General features: G+C 47.3%; 1 annotated feature.

Moving 5' to 3' along the window:
* Nucleotides 7,173–7,222: an enhancer, noted in NCBI's record as "active region_20607". NCBI's record gives its function as "activates an Ori minimal core promoter by ATAC-STARR-seq in GM12878 lymphoblastoid cells {active_cell/tissue: GM12878}" and the evidence as "EXISTENCE:reporter gene assay evidence [ECO:0000049][PMID:35858748]".

Here is an 18,288-nt window from a genome sequence, read left to right on the forward strand (position 1 = left end):
CGCTAAGGTAGGATTGGACTTTGAAGAGCTGAGCAATGGCTGGGCATGGTGGTTCACTCCTGTAATCCTAGCACTTTGGGATGCTGAGGCAGGAGAATCGCTTGAGCCTAACAGTTCGAGACCCTGCCTCTACAATAAATTAAATAAATAAATAAATAAATAAATAAATAAATAAATAAATAAAAAAGGAGCCAGGTGGGCCTGGTGGTGCGCGCCTGTACTCTCAGCTACCCGAGAGGCTGAGGTGGGAGGATCTCTTGAGCCTGGCAGGTCCAGGCTGCAGTGAGCTGTGATTGCACCACTGCGCTCCAGATTGAGCGATAAAGTGAGACCCTGTCTCAAAAAGCAAAACAATATATAAAAGAGCTGAGCACCGACCAGTCCAAGCATGAGAATGGCTTCTGTTGCTGTTGGAACTGAAGTTTCCTGACTTCATGGATGCCCTGAGGGCTCAAAATGGCTTTACCTCCTCTCCATAGTTCTCTTTTTTTCTCCTCTGTCTATATTGTTCCTTTTATTCAGTCTTGATAAAGTGTGTGTGTGACAATAAAATGAATACATAGTCGCTATTTTTAAAAATGGAGAAAGTTCCTGTGGTTCCTGTTGGAAGTTTTCCCCTTCCTGAGAACATGGGTCTGTGCTCACTGGAAATGCAGGTTTGCTGGTTCTCCTTCCTTAATCCTGGCAGGACTCTTGGCCCGGAGTCAAGTCCACTCCCCTTCCTGGTGTGGGCAGGAATGGCCCATTTATCTCCAGGGCTGGAAGCACCTTGGAGGCAGCTCTGGAATTGGTGAGGCTTTGGGGGTGGGAGGTAGGGGGTGTCAGAAGGGAGGCATTGGGCATCCTCAGATGTTTCTCACTTTTTTCCTTTTGCATAACTTGATTAATTTTTTTTTTTGTGAAGTTCTTGCCCATTCAAAAACAGTTTTATTTTATTATTATTATTTTTTTTGAGACAGGGTCTCACTCCGTCACCCAGACTGGAGTGCAGTGGCACAATCACGGCTCACTGCAGCCTCCACGTCCCTGGGCTCAGGTGATCCTTCCACCTCAGCTTCCTGAATAGCTGGGACTACAGGCGTGCATTGGCTAATTTTTTTTTTCTCTCTTTCTTTCTTTTTTTTTTTTGTAGAGATGGGGTTTCACCATGTTTACCAGGCTGGTCTTGAACTCCTGGGCTCAAGCTATCCACCCCGCTCTGCCTCCCAAAGTGCTGGGATTACAGGCGTGAGCCACTGTGCCTGGCCAGTTTTATTTTATTGTAGTAGGTTTGCCTGTTGTTTCGTCTTATTTTTTTTCAGACATGGTCTCACTCTGTCGCCCAGGCTGGAGTGCAGTGGTGTAATCTCGGCTCACTGCAGCCTTCACCTCCTGAGTTCAGGTGATCCTCCCACCTCAGCCTCCCAAGTAGCTGGGACCACAGGTGGGTACCACCACACCCAGCTAATTTTGTTGTTGTTGTTGTTTTGTAGAGATGAGGTTTCGCCATGTTCCTCAGGCTGATCTTGAACTCCTGGGCTCAAGTAATCCCTGCCTTGGCCTCCCAAAGTGCTGGGATTACAGGTGTGACCCACCGCGCCCGGCCAGTTTTATTTGCTTGTATTAGGTATACCTTGTTTTATTAGTAGCCACTCATAACACGGATGCCCCCTTCTCAGTTGATCTGATTTTCTTACAAAGGGTCACATCAGTGATGGGCCAGTATCCCAGATCTGGGGTGGCAGAAACCAAGGTTGGTGGTCCACTTTCCCACTTTGGTCAGGGGTGTCCAGTCCAAGAAGTCCAGATTCCAGTAATAGGAAAGTTAGGCTGTCTTCTCCTTCTCTTTCTCCTCCTCCTTCTCCTTCTCCTTCTCCCTCTCCCTCTCCCTCTCCCTCTTCTTCTTCTTCTTTCTTCTTCTTCGACAGTCTCCTCTGTAGCCCAGGCTGGAGTGCAGTGCCAAGATCTCAGCTCACTGCAACCTCCACCTCCCGGGTACAGCCTCCCAAGTAGCTGGGATTACAGATGTGTGCCACCACACCAGGCTAATTTTCATTTTTAGTGGAAACAGGGTTTCCCCGTGTTAGCCAGGCTGGTCTTGAATTCCTGACTTCAAGAGATCTGCCTGCCTCAGCCTCCCAAAATGCTGGGATTACAGGCGGGAGCTACTGAGCCCAGCCCTGCTGTCTTTATTTTCTACCTTACATAGTACAAAATCATATTTGTTCATTTTTTGTTACTTAAGAAATTTTTTTATTAGAACATTTCATTTCATAAAATAGAATGTATATCCTATTTGTTCCTAATAAACACCTGAAAATGCCCACTTCAACAATTCTGCTGATATTATGCTCCAACATATAGATGTCTTCTTTCAAAGAGCTGACAATCCCATCCTGGCTAACACAGTCAAACCCCGTCTCTACTAAGAATACAGAAAATTAGCTGGGTGTGGTGGCACGCGCCTGTAGTCCCAGCTACTTGGGAGGCTGAGACAGGAGAACGGCGTGAACCCGGGAGGCGGAGCTTGCAGTGAGCCGAGATTGAGCCAGTGCACACCGGCATGGGCGACAGAGTGAGACTCCGTCTCAAAAAAAAAAAAAAAAAAATGAAAAGAGCTGATAATCTATGTCATGTGGTTTATTCAGGCAGCTCAGGGGTACACAGAGTGAGGACAGGTCTATGCTCATAAACCAGGATCACAGAGGTTCCTGCTCTTGTGAGGCCCCAGGCCATTGTCTACTGTGGTGCTTCCCAGGTTTTTGGAGTTCATGAGCCCATGGAGTATTGGGCAAACCACACAGACTTGTCAATTGTTGATTTGGCACATCAGGACATTATTAGCAAAGCCAAATTCTATTATCAATTCAGAAAAGAAGGGATATTTTAATACCAAGAGCTTCTAAATGTAAGCTTCTCTCATTTCACCAAGGACTGGTAGAATAGGTAAGGATCTGCTGGTAGACCTGGCTGGTTCCCTTCACAGTTGGGTTGCTGCCTCGAGTACTCAAGGCCTCGACAACAAAGGGAGGGATATTCATTGTGGTTGTGAGTCTCTCAAAATACAGGCTTCACAGTGTCAAACCCAGTGTTTCACCTGCCCAGCCTGTTGCTGGTCGCCATCTCTGGGCTCTGGCACCTTTGGGACAAGTTTCTGTCGTTGCACTTCCCACGTTGTTTCATGGGCTTTACTGCCCCCCTCAGTGGCTTGCTGGCTAAAGACAGGAACCACATTAGATCTGACTGCTGGCTGCCCAACACTCAGCAAGTGCTCACCAAATGCCTGTTGCCCACATGAATTAAACTCAGTTTCACTCTTTTGTATCTCCAAATAATGAAAGAAATACTCACTGTACACTGCTTGAAAAATGAGAGGGGAAATGGCCAATTTCATGCTGAGAAAGGAAATATATTTGCTAGTTTTTCCCACAGGCTATTTTATAGCTACTTGATTTCATTTAGGTTGTGGTTATTTTCTGCTGGGCAATCTTTACTCCAAAGAGATGAGGGACCCATGCTTTGCATTGTCCCACCTTCTATAACCATGGTTCTCAGCCTTGCTGCACATTAGAAGCACCTGGGAGAGCTTAAAATACTGATGCTCAGGGGCCCACCTCTGACCAGCTCAATCAGACTCTCTGGGGGTAGGGTCTGAACATTGGTTTTTGTTTGTTGGTTTGCTTCATCTCTGAGAAAAACTCAGTGATGAGTTTTTCTCAGTGATTGTAATGTGCGTCAGTGGCTGAGAACCTGTGGCCTAGACACACTTTTTGGGCTCTTGCAACCGAGTGAGAGCCAGTGGTGAGATGGGGGAAGTCATGGACAAGGAAGGAGGGGAGACTGGAATTCCAGATATAGTCCGCAACTTCCCGTGGACTTGGACTTAAGCCCTTGGTTTTATCTTCTGTAAGATGGGGATAATGACGGCTGTCTCAAAATGCTGTTGAGATGATCTGAATGCCTGGCACAGAGGAATGCTTGTGATGGTTTCATGTGTCAATTAGGATAAGCTATGGTATCCAGATTTTTGGTCAAACAAGTAGCCTAAATGTTACTGTGAAGGTTTTTTTTTTTTTTTTTTTTTTTTTTTTTGGAGATGGAGTTTTGCTCTTGTTGCCCAGGCTGGAGTGCAATGGCGCGATCTCAGCTCACTGCAACCTCCGCCTCCCAGGTTCAAGTGATTCTCCTGCCTCAGGCTCCCCAGTAGCTGGGATTACAGGCTCCCGCCACCATGCCCTGTTAATTTTCTTTTTTTTTTTTTTTGAGACGGAGTCTCGCTCAGGCTGGAGTGCAGTGGCACGATCTAGGCTCACTACAACCTCCGCCTCCCGGGTTTTCTTACGCCATTCTCCTGCCTCAGCCTCCCGAGTAGCTGGGACTATAGGCGCTCGCCACCACGCCTGGCTAATTTTTTGTATTTTCAGTAGAGGCGGGGTTTCACTGTGTTAGCCAGGATGGTCTCGATCTCCTGACCTTGTGATCCGCCCGCCTGCGCCTCCCAAAGTGCCGGGATTACAGGCATGAGCCACCGCGCCCGACCTTAATTTTTGTATTTTTAGTGGAGACGGGGTTTTGTCATGTTGGCCAGGCTGGTCTTGAACTCCTGACCTCAGGTGATCCACCCGCCTCAGCCTCCCAAAGTGCTGGGATTACAGGCGTGAGCTACTGTACCTGGCTGGTATTTTTTTAAAGCTATGATTAACACTTAAATCAGTAGATTTTATTTTTTATTTTAATTTTTTAATTTTATTTTTTATTTTTATTTTTCGGGACAGAATCTCACTCTGTTGCCCAGGCTGGAGTGCAGTGGAGCAATCTCGGCTCACCCACCAGCTTCCGGGTTCAAGCAATTCTCCTGCCTCACCCTCCCGAGTAGCTGGGATCACAGGCACGCACCACCACACCCAGCTAATTTTTTTTTTTTTTTTTTTTTTTTTTGTATTTTCAGGAGAGATGGAGTTTCGCCATGTTGCCCAGGCTGGTCTTGAAATCCTGACCTCAATTGATGCCCCTCCTCAGCTTCCCAAAGTGCTGGGATTACAGGGGTGAGCCACTGTGCCTGGCCTTAAATCAGTAGACTTTGAGTAAAGCAGATTACCCTCCTTAATAGAAAAGACTGATGTCCCTGAAGAGGTAGGAGTTTTGCTTCCAGACTGCCTTTGGACTCAGGATTGCAGTGTGGGCCCTTGCCGGAGTTTCCTGTTTGTTCGCATGCCTTATAGGTTTTGGATTTTGGCCATCTTGTCGGAAGGAAAAAAATAAGATTTTGGATTTACCAGTCCCTGCAATCGCAGGAGTTAATTCCTTAAAATAAGCCCTTCTCCAACTCCTATTGTTTCTGTTTCTTTGGAGAATGCTGATGAATACAATGCTCAATAAATGATTGCTACTGTTGTTACCATCTAACTCAGTAGTGGCTAGGGCTGGTTTGGGGCAATAAGTAAGACTGAAGCTTTATGGGTCAGGGCAATAGGCATTATCCCAAGGAAATGACAGTGATGAGCTCTCACTATTGAATTCCAGAGTGTGAAGTCCAGATGTGAAGATAAACGCAGGGTGCAGAAATCTTTTCCTTTTCCTCATCTGGAATGTGGAGATTTTCATCAGGAGAGAGGGCCTGCAGCACAGGGTACAGAGCTCCAGACTTGTGGTCAGGAGGCCTGGCTTTGGCTCCTGGCTGAGTCACCAGTTCACTATGCCACCTTGGGCAAGGCCCCAGCCTATTTTATTTTATTTTATTTTGTTTTTTGGCTCCCTGAGGGGGTTGAGCTGGATGATGCGTGAAGTGCTTTCCATCTCGCTGGGGTTTGGTTTCTGCTTCTTAAGTGGTTCCAAGTTGGGCCGCTTGTATTTATGCTCAGGAGAGAGGTCACATGGCTGAATTGTGGCTGTCCTATCCAGGGCTTGAGAAAATGCCACAGACCTTACCCCATGTACTCTGAGATAGAGAGTCCAGGACATGGAGAAGCTGGGCTCCTGCATGTCTCTGCTACTGGGATTCCCTTCCCAAGTCCCCTCAGACACACCAGGCCCTTTCCTGACAGCTTGCCCTGGAGAGGGCAGAGACCACATATAGAGCAGTGGTCCCCAACCTTTTTGACACCAGGGACCAGTTTCACGGAAGACAATTTTTCATGGGGGTGGGGGGTGGTTTTGGGATGATTCAAGTGCATTACATTTATTGTGCACTTTATTCCTATTATTATTACATTGCAATATATAATGAAATAATTATACGACTCACCGTGATGTAGAATCAGTGGGAGCCCTGAGGTTGTTTTGCTGTAACTAGACGGTCCCATCTAGTGGTGATGGGATACAGTGACAGATCATCAGGCATTGATTCTCATAAGGAGTGGGCAACTTAGATCCCTCACATGCACAGTTCACAATAGGGTTCGCACTCCTATGAGAATCTAATGCTGCCACTGATCTGACAGGAGGTTGAGCTCAGGTGGTAATTCGGAGCAGCTGTAAATACAGATGAAACTTCACTGGCTAACCTGCCACACTTACCTCCTGCTGTGCGGCCCGGTTCCTAACAGGCCATGGACTCGTACCAGTTGGTGGCCCGGGGATTGGGGACCCCTGATATAGAAAATTTATTATTTACCCCTGATATAGAGAATTTACTATTGCTTTACAAACTCAAGTGTGAAACAAACAGCATTAGTTGTGGTCCCCTTTTTCATTTATTTATTTTTTAGAGACAGGCTCTTGCTCTGTTGCCCAGGCTGGAGTAGGGTGGCACAATCGTAGCTCACTGTAGCCTCGACCTCCTGGGCTCAAGTAATCCTTCTGCCTCAGCCTCCCAAATAGCTGGGACTACAGATGTGTGCCACCAAGCCCAGCTACGTGGCCTTCTTTAAATGATCCAATTTCTGACTCTAAGCCCCCATCCTGCCTATTGTCAGGGGTCTTGGGACGTCAGTCTTCGGATATTATTACCACGTTATTTGCTCCCAGGGCTGCATGTCCTTGGGGCCTGGCGTCTCTTCAATTTCATGCCATGCTGGTGTGCCTGGGTCACAGGTACAGCCTATGATCATCTCCTCTGAGCACCTGCCATCTTCCCAGGGCATCTTCAGGAAAAATTATTGAAACTAGGAACTATTGAGCTTCTCTTGTCTGTGGGTGCTAGGGGCCCCCAGCCCTAACCCAGGCATCAGCAGCTTCAGTTTCCATCTACAGAATGCAAGATCTCAGCTCACTGCAAAACTGCCCTTCCTCTGGGTGCTTCCAGGAGTCCACAGGGGATGTTTCTTGAGTAACAAGCTTTTCTCTCACCTACTTCCACTTTGGACCACACTGCCCCCTTGTGGAGGGTGGTGACTCTGCCATTGCTTTATACGCCTGTGATGGCTGTGAGTTACGTTCTTGCCCAGGGTGCATCTGACAGCCACTCAAAGCTGCAGTCCTCGAGGATCCAGAGGGTCCACACAGTTGTGTGGTCCCTCGCAGCCAGGCTGTCACCCCAGCACTCCTCCCCTGATCTGAGTTGCACCTTGTGACCTGGGCATGGAGGCAGTGCTGCCTGTGGTCCTGGGACTCTTGGGATCCTTCTTGAGGAGGACTCTTCTGCCTCAGCCTGTGGCTTTTTTCTCCGTAACACAGGCCCAGTGTATTAGGAGTCTTCCAATTGCAGATGACGGAAACTCAGCTTAAGTTGTTTACAATTCCAATAAATAAATAAATAAATAAAAAGAAAGAAAGAAAGTGTATTGGTTTGTCACTGAAAACTCATGGCAAGTCTTCAGGTATAACTGGATCCAGGAGCTTGAACAGCGTGGTCAGAGCGCAGTCTTACTCCTGTCTGTTCTGCTTTCCTTTGTGCTGGCTTTACTCCCATGCAGGCTTTCTCCACTTGGGTGCTCTCTAAAGTTTTGGGCTTATTTCTTCCCCACAGCTATCAATCTTAGTGGAAAGAAGCTTCTCTTTGCCTTCAGTCCCTACAAAAGTTCTGCAATTGGGTCTCTTTGGCTCAATTCACTTGCTTGCCATTGAAACAACCCCTGTGAAAGACAGGGTGAAATATACAAATACACTTCCTCTCTGGCTGGGTGCGGTGGCTCACGCCTGTGATCCTAGCACTTTGGGAGGCCGAGGCGGGTGGATCACCTGAGGTCAGGAGTTTGAGACCACTCTAGCCAACATGGTGAAACCCCGTCTGTACTAAAAATACAAAAATTAGCTGGGTGTGGTGGCACACGCCTGTAGTCCCAGCTACTCCAGAGGCTGAGGCAGGAGAATCACTTGAACCCGGGAGGTGTTCAGCAGTAAGGTTTTCTGACAAGTGACCCTGTCCTCTTTCTTGGACCAAGGCTGGCCTGTGACCCCAGGGCCACCATTCCAGGTACTGGGTAGGCCAGCAACCTCTGAGGTGACTTGTCTTGACAGGATGAGTAGCCTCAAGTAGTTTGTCCCTTGGAGATTGGAATTAAGAATTTCCAAGAGAGGTTTTCAATTTGTAGAAGGAGTAGGGGCTGGAGGGTCCTCAGTGGCCATATGTATAACAAATCCAGGAGGGAGTGGTCAATTCAGCAGAGAACAGGGGGACATGCAAAAGAAGCAGGGAGGTCTTGGGAAAGATCATGCAGTCCAGGAGAGAGAGACAGGGCTGCTGAGAGACAGAGAGACCTCTGATCCCATTGGCAGTCCAGTCTCAAGACCATACATTGAGTTCCTTTTTCTTTATCCTGCAAAACTTTGTAGTTTAAAACACAAACACCCAGTTAAATCTAGCTGATTTATTTACAACTATAGACTGACTTAAAGATAAGCAATAGGCTGGGTGCGGCGGCTCACGCCTGTAATCCCAGCACTTTGGGAGGCTGAGGCGGGCAGATCACCTGAGGTCAGGAGTTCGAGACCAGCTGGCCAACATGGTGAAACCCCATCTCTAGTAAAAATACAAAAATTAGCCAGGTATGGTGGTGGGCACCTGTAATCCCAGCTACTCAGGAGGCTGAGGCAGAAGAATCACTTGAACCCAGGACGCAGAGGTTGCAGTGGGCCAAGGTAGCGCTCTTGCACTCCAGCCTGGGTGGCAGAGCGAGACTCCATTGCAAAAATAAATAAATAAATAAAGATGAGTAATAATATTCCAAGTGAGAGAAGGAAATATTCAGACTGCTTAACTTGTAGCTCACATATATTCATTATTTCTGTACCTTTTTTTTTTTTTTAATTTTGACAGGGTCTCTATCTCTCAGGCTGGAGTGCAGTGGTGGTGAGGTCTCAGCTCACTTCAACTTTCGCCTCCCAGGTTCAGGTGATCTTCCCACCTCAGCCTTCCAAATAGTTGGGACCACAGGCATGCACCACCACAGCGGTTAATTTTTTTGTAGAGATGTGGTTTTGCCACGTTGCCCAGGCTGGTCTCTAACTCCTGGACTCAAGTGATCCTCCCACTTTGTCCTCCCAAGGTGATGGGATTACAGGCATGAGCCACTGTGCCCAGCTGGTACTTTTTTTTATTTTAAGATTATAGTATTATCTGTCTCCCTATCAGCCATTTCATCCTCTCTTCCTTGTCAGGGAACTCTGATTTTGTTCAAGGATATAAGTAACTCAAATATTACATAGGGCCATGTGCAGTGGCTCACATCTGTAGTCCTAGCACTTTGGGGGGCCAAGGCAGGAGGATCGCTTGAGCTCAGAAGTTCGAGGCTGCAGCGAGCTATGATTGTGCCACTGCCTTCCAGCCTGGGCAACAGAGTGAGACCCTGTCTCAAAAAAGAAAAAAAATTACATAAGCAGAGTATGCGACAACAACAACAAAATCATAGAGACCTTGGCCTCTACTCTTAGGCAGATCCCAGTTATCTGAGTCAGCCATGGTGGTCTCATTCTTTTGCCAACAGTTGGTTTAGGAACCAGCATGTAACAGACTCAGTCCTGGCCCATGAGATGAATAGGGAACTCTACTGAGGGATTCAGGGAGAGTGGATCAGACTTCTAAGAAAGAGTCTGGAAGAAATGGCTCCTTTTCCCATCAGAATTTTTCTTTCTTTCTTTCTTTCTTTTTTTAAATTTTAAATGTGGGCCAGGTGCAGTGGCTCACACCTGTAATCCCAGCACTTTGGGAGGCTGAAGGCAGGTGGATCACTTGAAGTCAGGAGTTCGAGAGCAGCCCGGACAACATGGTGAAACCCCATTCCTGCTAAATGCACGCGCACACACACACACACACACACACACAAACACACGAAAAATTAGCTGGGCATGGTGGCATATGCCTGTAATCCCAAAATCCCAACTACTTGGGAGGCTGAGACATGAGAACGGCTTGAAATCAGGAGGCAGAGCTTGCAATGAGCCAATATTTGGCCAATGCACTCCAGCCTGGGTCTTACTCTAGGGAGACTCTGTCTCAAAAAAAAAAAAGAAAAATAAATTCTGAATGTGATGTCTGTTACAGTCCACAGAGGTAAAAGATACAAGTAGCAGGGCTTGTGCCCAAGTTTTAGAGTGACTGTACCTATAGCCTACAGCCAGTAATCTCTGTCTTCTTTATTGTGAGATAATAAAGCCCTCATTATTTACATTCCTTTTAAAATAAAATCCCACAGTATTGTATTGTAATTGATGCAGATATAGCAGGTTATTAAACCACAGCTAGATTAATATTGTCATGAATCACAGGAAATTTTAGAGGTCATCTGTCTAATACAGTTCTACTTTACATCCCTACAGTGGCAAGATCCCAGTTAGAATGTGGAGTTGGCCTCTGTCCCTGTGCTATTTACTGGCTGGGGGCCCTGCACAAGTTATTTAATCTTGCTCAGTCTCACTTTCCTTACATATTAAAAGGAAATATAGTTTGTGGGAACTAAGTGAGATAATGTATCATGGCTGGCATAGAATAGGCACCAAATAAAAGCTAGCTATCATGGTTATTTCCAGATGAAAAAGGCATGGTTTTTGCCTTCAATAATATTACAATTAAGGAGTATGGAAAAGACAAACAGCCATGAAACGCAAAGTAAGACCTGATGAAAACAACTGAGTCAAATCATGGGGGTAAAGAGAACATGTGCTGTAAGAGTTCAGAGGTGAGAAAAGCTTTATTTATTTATTTATTTTTAGAGACAGAGTCTTGCTCTGTCACCCAGGCTGGAGTACAGTGGCACGATTATAGCTCACTGCAGCCTTGACCTCCTGGGCTCAAGGAATCCTCTTGAATAGCTAGGACTACAGGCATGTGCCACCATGCCCGACTAATTAATTTTTTTTTTTCTGTAGAGACAGGTCTTGCTATGTTGCCCCGGCTACTTGTGAATTCCTGGCCTCAAGCAATCCTTCCACCTTGGCCTCCCAAAGCTCTAGGATTATAGGTATGAGCCACTGTGCCCAGCCCAGAGGTGAGAAAAGCTTAATGAGCAAAAGGGCATTTGGGATTATGGCTGATTTTTATGATCTGAATTTTTCAAATTCCCTGCAAAAAATATCTATTGCCTATTTAATCACATAAAAGTTATTAAAATAATGTGCATTCCTCAATAAATAAAGGAAAGAAACAAATCTCCAAATGCCCATTGCAATGTTTCCCTTTGATAGTAGTGAACAACCTGGAAACATCCTAAATGTAGGAATTAAATAAATTGGGCCACATCCATGTGGCTGAATATGTTATACATATACATATGTATGACATATAATATGTCATACAGTTGTTAAACAGCTGGGAATTGTGTACCAATATGGAAAAATGAAAAGAATTGCTTTGTTAGTGGTTAGACGTTGGATGGTTATTGGCTTTCCATCTGAATTTCGAGTTTCCATGATTACTACAATATTGTTTGTGCAATAAAACATTTAATAAAATCAAAGAAAATAAGTGTGAAATTTGACCCGAACAATGGGGCCTTTTGTGTAACATTCTTTGCTCTGGTGGTTGCAGGGGTCTGCCTATTTCTCCACACCCTGGCAGGTCCACAGCACAGATCCTTTGTCACCCTTAAGAAGGTGTGTGTGGAAGGCATGCGGCCTTGGTTGGCCAGGGCTGAGGACACCATCCCCTTCCCCAGTGGGTGGTGGGGGCTGCTTTCAGTGCCTCCTTGTCTGGAAGGGATATTAAGGCAGGAGGCCTGGCTATGGCTTTTTGTTTTTGATATTCTCTTCATTAGATGTTCTATACTGTTTGTAAAATGGATGCTAAACCAGGAGAAAAACAGGTCTACCGTGTTTCCTTGATCATCTGTGAGGGGCTCCGGCACAGGTGCTAGGTAGACAGGTAAAACGCAGCCATTTTCCTCTCACCCTTTCAGGGAAACCCTGCCATGCTTTCCTCCTTAGGAGTTACTTTTGGCAGGCCCGGGTCCCAAAGTCTAAGGGCCTGTGTATTTACTTCCCCTGAAGAGACAAGGGCCTGTAGCCCTCTTTTGGGGTCAGCGTCTGACACTAAACAGAGTCACTCATGGCTGTGACTTCCAGGCAGTGGACACGAGCTCTTCGGACTGCCAAGGCTGGCTCCAGCCACCCAGTTCCGCTTTTCTCTGGGGCCATCTGTAACAGTGCGGGGGGACGTGGGGTGGTCCCTGGGTGTCGCGGCGCAGAGCCCGGTCAGATGCGTGCCATTAGTGGAGACAAGCTCTGCATGGAGCTGGTGGCCTAATGGGGACCACGCTCGCCCTAATGCGAAGCAGCCGCCGCACCGCGGCCGAGCCTCTTCCTACTGGGCATGAGAGCTGACGAGATAGAACGGAAGAGCCACGAAAGGCCCTTTGATTCCAATACGAAACAAATTATTACTCCCGGAATGGAACAAAATAAGCCAGAGAGGAATCTCAAGGCCACCCACCATTCCTCCCTGCGAGGCTGCCGCCGACGGCCCCGGGCCTGCCTATCCTGCGATCTTTGGCGGGGACACGGAGACACGGCACTGAGGGGCTCCGGGCGACTGGGGCGGGGAAGTCGGAGTTCCTGGCCAACGGCCCGCGGGGGCCTGGATCCTTTGTTTGTTGGGGCACCCCAAGGTCAGTGGTCCTCAAACTTGAGTGAGGGAGCCTCCGCATCTCGTGGAGAGCTTGTTACAGGGCGAATTCCTGGGCCCCACCTCCAGAGTTTTTGATTTTGCAGGTGGAGTGGAGGTTGAGAATTTGCATTTTTTCAGGGAATGCTGGTGCTATCGGTCCAGGGAAAACTCTCTGAGAACCAGCTAGTAAATATGGAGATGGAAGCAACTTGGCCTTGAGTCTCCCACTACCACTATCCTGGCATTCAGATGGCTAAGTCCCAGAGAGGTCTGCAGTGGGTAAACTATCTAATACAGCCCTCCCACCCCCCACCTACGAAGTCAACAAGTGATGCATGTGCCTAGCTTCTTTCATCCCCTTTGGAGCCTGTTTTTGATTGGTCACTCCTGTCCTATAGTGAACCAACCAAGTCCCACCCCAAAACTCAGGGACTGGAATTTCCCAGCACCCTGGGCAGGTAAATGGGCAGCTGCCAAAGGCCTGTGAGAAAAAACTGGTAACAGCTTCAGGACTCCAGGCAGCCTCTCTGGGGGATGCTTCTGCTCAAGTTGCCTAGCCTCTAGAGAAGGTTCCTGGCTCTCTGTCACTGGCCTGGGCCAGCAGTCATTCCTGGCAAGAGGAGTTTGGGGGTGAGGGGTAGGGAGTAGGGAGTAGGAAGGGGAGACTGGTGGCTGGGGGGACAGTGGCAACAATTCTTGTTGGGGTAACATCAGAATTCCTGCCTGGCTTCTTGGAAACCATTCAGGGATCTAAAAGCCTGAAAGTGTTTCTTTTTTTGTTTGTTTGTTTTTTAGAGACAAGGTCTTGCTGCTGCCCAGGCTGGAGTGCAGCGGCACAATCATAGCTCCGCAGCCTCATACTACTGGGCTCCATGGATCCTCCCAAGTAGTTGGGATTATAGGCATGAGCTACCAAGCCCGGCCAGTGCCTAATTTTTAAATTCTTTGTAGAGATGGTGGGGGGCGGGGAGGGGGTGGTCTCGTTATGTTGCCCAGGCTGGTCTCAAACTCCTGGCCTCAAGTTATCCTCCCGTTTCTGCCGCTCAAAATGCTGGGATAACAGGCATGAGCCACCGCACCCAGCCATGTGTTTTAGGTGCAGGATGTGTGGGATGAGGGCTTCCCTAGAGTAAACCATTTGTTTTCAAACTTGAGTTTGCATCCGGATCACCTGGAGGCCTTCGTAAGACAGACTGCTGGCTCCACCCTAGAGTTGCTGATTCAGTGGGGCTGAGGTGGGGTTGAGAGTTTGCATTTCTAACAAGGTCCTAGGTGCTGCTGATGATTTGGGTTCCACACTTTGAAAATCACAGCCCTAGACTTCATTTGGGATCTCCAAGCCCTCTCTATAGTTTCAAATGTCATGGTATCTGTCCCCAGCCCCACTCTCTGGACATCCTCCATCAGTCACTGGTCTTTGTGTTGATCACCTTTCTCCGCTTTTGAAAAGGCAGTTTGGTCTTGTCTTGTGCTGCCTGTGCTCTCTGGTTCTGGAAGCAGGAAACAGCTCTCAGGGTGATTCAGCCATGGGAAGAGCAGCATCCCTCATACCCCACCCTCATTCTTGCACCCAGCCAGGCAGGACAGCTCCCTTCTATTTGCTGCCATCCCTCACCCTCTATAATTGCTTGAGTCCTAGCCCTGGGTTAAGCTAAAAAGAATAGACAGCTGAGGAAAGATCCCTTTAATAGGCACCTTAGTATCCATGCAAGGCCAAGCCTAGAGGGGTTGCTGTTGCATTTCTCCCAGTGACAAGATCTCTGAAGTGATCCTTCTTTTTTTACCTTGTGCTTTGCACATCATAGCTATTTATGAACTATTTGTTGATTGACTAATTGCTTAGGGAAAACTATAAGGAAGGGAAACAAAGCAAAATAAAGATATTCTTCAAGGCTGCCATGCACTAGGACAAAGTTTTGTTTGTTTTTTTTGAGGAGTCTTGCTCTGTCACCCAGGCTGGAGTGCAGTGGTGCCATCTCGGCTCACTGCAACCTCCACCTCTTAGGCTCAAGCCATTCTCCTGCTTCAGCCTCCCAAGTAGCTGGGACTACAGGCATGCACCACCATGCCTGGCCATTTTTTTTTTTTTCATTTTTAGTAGAGACTAGGTTTCACCATGTTGACCAGGCTGGTATTGAACTCCTGACCTCAGATGATCTGTCTGCCTCAGTCTCCCAAAATGCTGGGATTATAGGCATGAGCCACTACACCTGGACTAGGACAAAGTTTTCATCAGTGTTTGCCAGCTTGACTGAAGGGGTAGAGTTTATCCTCTTTGGCCTCCAGAAAATGTGTCAGAAGCTCCTGGGTGGGAACCCTGAAGCACAGGCCTGTGGGCAGGGGCAAGCAAGATCAGTGTAATTCGGGTTTTTTTGGGGGGGCTTTGAGACTACCCTGGCAAGCTGGAGACCCTGGAAAAGAAGGGGCTGGTGGTCTATAGGGGCCTGAGGGTCAGCTGAGGCCATGCGGAGCCATCCTATGTTCTGGTGCCTCAGGATTTCCAGAAAGGCAAGTTTTTTACAAAAGGAACTTAACATAACATTTATGTCAAGAAGTTTAGAAAATGTCAAATGTGAATAATCATGGCATTTGAAATTTGGACTAGGGTATGTACAATTTAGATGAAAATAAGCCATGTGCAAACCATTAGATTTTAATAATTTTTCTCTTCATTGGATATTTTGAAGCTATATCTTTAGCAAATGGCTAAATTGGCTGTAGGTTCCCTATTTAGTTATTGCCATGGTTCTTTTTTTGTGGGGGACAGAGTCTCACTCTGTTGCCCAGGCTGGAGTGCAGTGGTGTGATCTCGGCTCACTACAACCTCTGCCCCCCGAGTTCAAGCAATTCTCCTGTCTCAGCCTTCTGAGTATCTGGGACTACAGACATGTGCCACCATGCCCGGCTAATGTTTGTATATTTAGTAGAGACAGGGTTTCACCATGTTGGCTAGGCTGGTCTCAAACTCCTGACCTCAGGTGATCTGCCTGCCTCAGCCTCCCAAAGTGCTGTGATTACAGGCATGAGCCACTGCTCCTGGCTGTGGTTCTTAACCTTAGCTGTACATTGGAATCACCAGCATTGCTTAAAAAAATAATCTCAATACCCTGGCTACACCCAAGACATGGAGGTAAGACACAATATTTTTTTTTTTTTTTTTTTTCGAGATGGAGTCTCCCTCTGTTGCCTAGGCTGGAGTGCAGTGGCGCGATCTCGGCTCACTGCAAGCTCTGCCTCCCGGGTTCATGCCATTCTCCTGCCTCAGCCTCCCAAGTAGCTGGGACTACAGGCGCCCACCACCACACTCGGCTAATTTTTTGTATTTTTAGTAGAGATGGGGTTTCATGGTGTTAGCCACGATGGTCTCGATCTCCTGACCTCGTGATCCACCTGCCTCGGCCTCCCAAAGTGCTGGGATTACAGGCGTGAGCCACCGCGCCCAGCCAAGGCACAATAGGTTTTTAAAGCCCCTGAGGCAATTTTGTAGTGCAGCTAGGATCAAAAATCCTTGAGCTATTGATTGAGTGGTTGGACAGGCTAGACTGAAACAAATGACTTCCTGGGGTGTCTGCTTAGCCTCTCATGAGTGCCATGACTGCCCTCTTCCCACAAGGAGCGACCATCAGAAGCTACCAGCAGACCCTCTTCCTCAGCTCCAGTTGACAGGACTGGGGTGTATCTCCAGGACAGTACCTGACCCAGGATACCAATCAGCTTTCTCACACAGGAAGATTGAATTGACACTCAGAAATTATAGCTGTCGCTGGAGCTCCTCTCTCAAATGGAGCAGAGGAGAGACCTGACCAGAGCAGCAGGAAAAGTTGGTTCTTGCCATCACCTCAGCTCCTGTTGCAGCATAGCCCTTCAGGGAGTCTGGCTACCACCCTGCCTGGGTCTCCAGGGGTCACTCATGAATCCTTATAAAAACACCCCCCACCCCAGCCACCCGTTTGGTTTAAAGCCAGCTCTAGTGGGTTTATGTTACTTGTGACCAAAGAGGCCTGCCGTGTGCACAGACAACAGCCCATCAAAAGCACATAAAAACAAATATGTATTCACTTCCCCCACCACAGTTACACCCAAGCTCTTTCTCATTCCATGTGGTCCCAACGGAAGACTGTTTGGAATCTGCATTTTCTGGAGGCCACCTGGAGAAACCTGTTTTCAATTCAATTGAGAACTGCAGTGATTCCCTAATGTGGCTCCACAGGCTTCTTCAGAATCACCTGGAGGAACTACAGATACACACAGATTGCCAAGCGCCATCTCCAGAGGCAGAAGCTGTTTAGTTTGAAGATGATCTTGAAATCTGTGTTTTAAAAACTTTTTTCCATGAAATTTTGATGTGCAGTTGATTCTACTGGGATCAGGCTGGTTGGGTTAATTTTTTAAAAAATTAAATTCCTCTTTAACTGCATCCTAGATGGAGGTGGTGTTGCTATCAACCTATCATTTCTGGGAGATGGATTTTGGAGGCATTTTGTCTGGGAGATGGATAAGGGCCTAGTCTGTGGATGAACTAAACAGAGCCCAGTGAGGTTCAGGCTCGTTGGAGTACATGTAAACATCAATCAGGCCAAAGGGACTTTTCCAGGTTGGCTGCTTGAGCTGGTCAAATGAACCAGATCATTTACTTTGCCTTCTGAGCTCTGTAGACACAACCAAAAGAATAAAAAAAGTGTGTGTGTGTGTGTGTGTGTGTGTGTGTGTGTGTGTGTAAGGCAGCAAATATACCTTTTACTCTAGAAACAAAAATATCATTTCTGACCCAACAATAGCCGGATCCTTGTGAATGAAGGGTTTGCATATTTTCCTGTTTTAACGGTTCTAGTATAAACAGCCCAAGCCCAGGCCTGATTGTCAGAAGGTCCTGAGCAGCCCAACCAGAATGCTGGAAATGACTCCTTCAGCCCTGAGGACCTGGATCCGGCTTAGTGCCAGGATTTGAGCTTGTGTTTAACAGTAGCAATGGGGTCAGAAGTTGAGGGAGAGGGCAATTGCAGTGGTCCCCAAGACCACAGCTAATGCCAGAACAACAGCAATAGCAGCTGCAGAGCCAAAAGAAGCAGTAGCTATGGTGTATTGATAATTTATCTGTACAGCCCTAGGCTAAGTGTGTCATTTGTTTGAATACTTACAAAAGCTTGATGTGGTAGGCATTATTATTCCAATTTTTAGAATGAGGTTCAGGGAAGTTGAGCAGCTTTTCTGAGGTCACACAGCTTTTAAGGGGAAGACCCAGGATTACATGAAGGCATGTTTGACTCCTAACCATTACAAGACACTGTACACAGTAGCCCAGGTCACAAACATCATCTTGTGTGCCAGTTGGG

Source organism: Homo sapiens, chromosome 3 (assembly GCF_000001405.40).
Source record: "Homo sapiens chromosome 3, GRCh38.p14 Primary Assembly".
NCBI classification, from domain to species: Eukaryota; Metazoa; Chordata; class Mammalia; order Primates; family Hominidae; genus Homo; species Homo sapiens.